Source organism: Homo sapiens, chromosome 14 (assembly GCF_000001405.40).
Source record: "Homo sapiens chromosome 14, GRCh38.p14 Primary Assembly".
In the NCBI taxonomy this organism is placed as follows: domain Eukaryota; kingdom Metazoa; phylum Chordata; class Mammalia; order Primates; family Hominidae; genus Homo; species Homo sapiens.
In genome coordinates, this window is record NC_000014.9 from 61,666,672 (window position 1) to 61,671,867 (window position 5,196).

General features: G+C 44.4%; 1 annotated feature.

Moving 5' to 3' along the window:
• Nucleotides 4,726–4,805: an enhancer, noted in NCBI's record as "active region_8499". NCBI's record gives its function as "activates an Ori minimal core promoter by ATAC-STARR-seq in GM12878 lymphoblastoid cells {active_cell/tissue: GM12878}" and the evidence as "EXISTENCE:reporter gene assay evidence [ECO:0000049][PMID:35858748]".

Below are 5,196 nucleotides of genomic sequence, written 5' to 3' on the forward strand. Positions count from 1 at the left end.
CAGGAGGTCAAGAACAGCCTGGCCAACATAGTGAAACCCCATCTCTACTAAAAATACAAAAATTAGCCGGGCGTGGTGGCACGCGCCTGTAGTCCCAGCTACTAGGGAGGCTGAGGCAGGAGAATCGCTTGAACCCAGGAGGCAGAGGTTGTGGTGAGCCAAGATCACACCATTGCACTCCAGCCTGGGTGACAAGAGCAAAACTCCGTCTCAAAAAAAAAAAGAAAAAGAAAAAGAAAAAAAATGCAAATTAAAACCACACTCCAGCCTGGGCAACAGAGTGAGACTCCATCTCAAAAAACAGAAAAAAGAAATAAAACACTGTTTCTGCACTTAAGGACTTCTCAGACTGGTACTGGGCACAGTCGGGTAAGGAGGCAGTTGTCCTCCAGGGAAGTAAGTGCCATGGTAGAAACTCCAGCTATCTATGTGTTGATAACGCTCAGCCTATAACTTTGTCTCACATACTCAGGAGCTTTCTGGGTACCTCCACTTGGATGTTCCTCAGAAAATCAGAAATCACCCTGAACATTTAAAAGAGAAAGTGTAATGCTGCACAGGGAAGACAGAGCACTGAGAAGCCAAACAGAAAACTCTGAGGGTTCCCTGAATCTGGCATCAGCAGGAAGCCACTATCACCCCTAGACTGGATGGACAAAGGAAAGCCTCTGTGTCACTAGAGCACAAGGCTAGGTATTGCTGGAGAAGGCTGGAGCAAGCCTGTCGGGAGGGAGCTGGGGCTGCAGAGAAGATGCATCCACGACTGTAGACCCTGTCTGAGGTGGAAAGAGAAGAGGAGTAATATCTCACTTTTCCCCTGCTCTTGTCCTCTAATACCTGACCAGTGCCTCCCATTGCCCAAACCACATCAGAAGCCCACTGACATGGGAGCCTAGGAGTTCTAGCCAGCAAATCAGCTCCCAGTCATGCATGACAGAGGAAGGAAAGAGCAAGAAAAATGCATCTGTGGGCAAACAGGTCCCAGACTACTATGTGCCTCAAACTCACCCAAAATGTTCAAAACTGGACTTTTCTTAATTTTTTTTTCTGAGACAGGTTCTCACTCTGTCACTCAGGCTGGAATGCAGTGGTGTGATCATGGTTTACTACAGCCTTGACCTCTTGGGCTCAGGTGATCCTCCTACCTCAGCCTCCCGAGTAGCTGGGATTACAGGCGTGTGCCACCACACCCGGCCTAAAACTGTACTTTTCATCTCCCTCACAGCCCACCCCTAGCTCCAGAAACCTCTGCCTTTGTTTCCTATCCCAATGAGTGCTGCTAACAATTGTCCAAGACAGAAACGTATATAGCATCCTCAGTGCCTTTCTCATCATCATTCTGATGATCAATCCTTTGAGCTCTGTCCCCTTAATCTCTCAGACCAGTCCACTGATCTCCATCCCAACCACATGACCTGCTTTCAGGTCACCGTCACCTCTGACATCGTTTACCACACCAGCCTCCTAACTGATCTCCTGCTGTTAGACTTGCCTCTCACTCTCTTTCAATTCATCTTACCCAGAGTAATCTTTACAAAGTACACATCTGATTATGTCAACCTCTTGCTTAAAGTCTTTCTTTCTTAGAGTACCAGTAGAGTGTCCTCAAAATAAAATACAAACTCCTTTTCATATGAGATCCTTCTAATCTCGCCCCTTCTTCAGCCTCATTTTCTTGTTCATTGACTCATTCTTTCATTCAATAAGTGTTTGCTGAATGCCCACACTGTGTCAGGTATTGGACCAAACACTGGGACACACCTTACCCTGCATGAGTCAGGCTGTCACTAACCAGCAGTCTGAGCCACACTCCCTCTCTGTTTGTCTTTTCCAGCCACTTCCTCCTTTACCCATTCCCATCCCCTAACTTCCTCCCATTCTTCCTTCATATCTTAGATGACTTCCTCCAAGCAGCCATCCCTTGCTCTTCAAGCCTGGACTTACTTATGCCCCTTCTAAGTGTTCCCAGAGTGCCTTGTGGATACTTTTTCCATGAGCTAGCCACACTTTATTACAGTTATTTCTTTTGCTGGTCTAACTCCCCAACTAGTGTGTAAATTATTTGGGAGCAGCAGCCCTATTTTATTTACTGTTATATTCCCATCACCTAATCAAGCACATTGTAACCCTTCAAATATGTATTAAATGAATCAATTAATTAACTAATAAGCACAAAGTGCTGTGGGAAGGTGCTCTATGAGGGACATCTCACCCACACTTAGGGGTGATAGAATGGTAGGAACAAAAGTTTCTTCCCAGAGTCTTCCCAGAGAAGGTGGTGTCTAAACTGTATTTTGAAGGGCAGCTTGGAAAAGTTGTTGGAAGTTAGAAGGACAAAACTTAGGTGAAAAGGTAAGGGAAAACACACCAGTGAGAAGAGTTAGCATGGTATCAACACAGAAGATTTTTCCAAGAATTTTAAGTAGCTTTCTATAGCTGGTTCCTAAAGTCCAAAAGAAAGGCTGGTGAAAGATGAAGCTCATTAGGGATCATGAAGGGCTGTGCTAAAGGTTAGGAGCTTAACCTGAAATTCCTGAAAGATGAAACAAGGAATTGAAATGATCACATTTGCACCTACAAACAACACTCTGGCAGCTGCTGGTGAGTGAATTAGAGATGAGCAGGCCTGGCTGCAGGAAGAGCAGTTGAGAAAAGAAATGATCAGGGCTTGAACTTGGACAGAGGGAAGAGGTGTTAAAGAAATGGAATTGACAGGACTTAGTGACAGACTGATAAGGGAAAGGGAAAAATAAAGGGTGACTCTAGAATGATGACTTCAATTTCACCATGTTGAGTTTGAGAGGCCTCTAGCGCTGGGCCAGAGTCCAGGTAGAAATATCCATTTGAACTAGATAGGTATGAACCCAGAAATGTTCTAAACTAGATACCTGGGGTAGGAGTGACAATGAGAGTGATAAGGTAAAGTGACAAAGGGGCAAGTATATGGATGTACACTACACAAGTCTTCCAACTGTTCTCTAACTTGAATTTTTTATAATAAAATGTTGAGAGGGAAAAGTTGAGAAGAGGCTGATGATGAAATACTGAGTAGCAAAAGCCTAGGCAGAAAATGAAGAAGAAGCGATTCAAGAGGCATATAGAAAACTAGCCAAGGATGGGTATCCTAGAAATCAAGGGAGGTGTTTCAAGGAGGAAGAAATTGTCAAATTTTGCAGATCAGAAAAGTGAAATAAGAACTCTAAAGCATGTTGTGAATTAAGCAATTTAAAACCTAGTTAGGACAGGCGTGGTGGCTCACACCTGTATTCCCAGCACTTTGGGAGGCCAAGGCAGGCAGATCACTTAAGGTCAGGAGTTCAAGACAAGTCTGACCAACATGGCGAAACCCCATCTCTACTAAAAACACAGAAAAGTAGCCAGGCGTGGTGGCACACACCTGTAGTCCCAGCTGTTCGGGAGGCTGAGGCAGGAGGATCACTTGAACCTGGGAGGTGGAGGTTGCAGTGAGCTGAGATCATGCCACTGCACTCCAGCCTGGGTGACAGAGCAAGACTCCATCTCAAAAAAAAAAAAAAAAAAAAGTGGGGGAAAGAAAAAATAAAACCTAGATAAAGGCAGTTTCCTGGAGTGATGGGAATAGAAGATAATGGGACTAAGCAGTGATTGGGAAGTGAAAAAGTAGAGACAATGAGTGTAGGCTGTTCTTTTGAGATTTAGTTGTGAAGGGAAGGCAGTATTAAGTGAGAGAGACTGGGTGAGGTAGCTCATACCTGTAATCCCAGCCCCAGCTATTCAGGAGGCTGAGGTGAGAGGATCTCTTTAGCCCAGGAATTCGAGGCTGCAGTGAGCCATGATCACACCACTGCACTCCAGCCTAGAGGACAGGATGAGACTGTCTCCAAAAAAGAAAAAAAAAAAATGATACCTAGAGGGGACAGTGCAATCGAAAGCCTCTCTTTAAGATGGGAGCCATCTGAGCCTGTTTGTACGCTAAAGGGGAAAGAATCAGGGTGGAGTTTTGATAATACAGGTGAGAGAGGAGATCAATGATAGTTCTGGGTCCTTGAAGATAGGGAGACAAGAGCAGAGAGCAGAGATAAGCTGCTGGCAGCAGGAGAGACATCTCTTCCTAGAGCGAAAGAGATAAGGATGGGAGCAGATGCAGGTACATTTGTCAAGAGGAATGCAGGAAGTCAAGTGAGTTCTTGTCCAACTGCCTCCAGTTTCTATATGAAATGTTGGAAAGGACAGTTGCTGATAGGAACGGGAAGGGGACAACCCAAACAGCAAGAAAAGAGGACGGAACCACCCGGGTAATAAAATTTCCATATATACCGTGCAAGTTTACCGATTTTCATGGGATTGGAGAACTGTAGGGTAAAATGTAATTAATACTACACTAGACTATATGCAGCATAATTTAATCTTTCTTTAATGTTTTCATTGCCTGTGGATTGTTTTTACAAATATCAATTATAATTACAGTACAATCTGCTTAAAGAAGTGTGAGAGGAAGTGCTAGTTGATAGAAACTTCCGGCTGACAGAGTTCACAACGTTTTGCCAGAAACAGACATCCTTTTATACAATAGGAAAAAAACTGTTTTCTTCTACTGTACTCTCAAAACTCTATTTCTGACACCACATGTAAGGGAAAATGAAAACAGTTTTTCGTCTCTATACTCACACTTTTACAGAACACTTCTGTGACCAAAATGTGTGGGGTTTTCCCCACACCAGCCAATTCTCTGACACCAGCTGGTGTCAGAGAATTTAACTCAATTTAACTCAATTCTGACACTACTTACCTGGAAATAGTGTCAGATCCCATAGGTTAAGGGCTCAGTCTCATAAGACTGCCCCCCACTTCAGATGCCAATCACAAGTAGAGGTCTCCAGATTGCCCACAGCTTCTGTCCAACTTGGCTAAAAATTGGAGGTTCCTTTGACTTCCTCCTCAGGTTCAATAATTGGCAGTAGTGGCTAACAGAACCCAGGAAAACAGTTTACTTACTACTGCCTATTATTTCAAAGGATGTTTTGAAATATACAAATGGAGGCCGGGTGCAGTTGCCAGGCCTGTAATCCCAGCACTTTGGGAGGCTGAGGCTGGCAGATCACTTGAGGCCAGGAGTGACCATCATGAGACCAGCCTGGCCATCATGGCGAAACTCCGTCTCTACTAAAAATACAAAAATTAGCCGGGCATGGTGGTGCACGCCTGTAACCCCAGTGT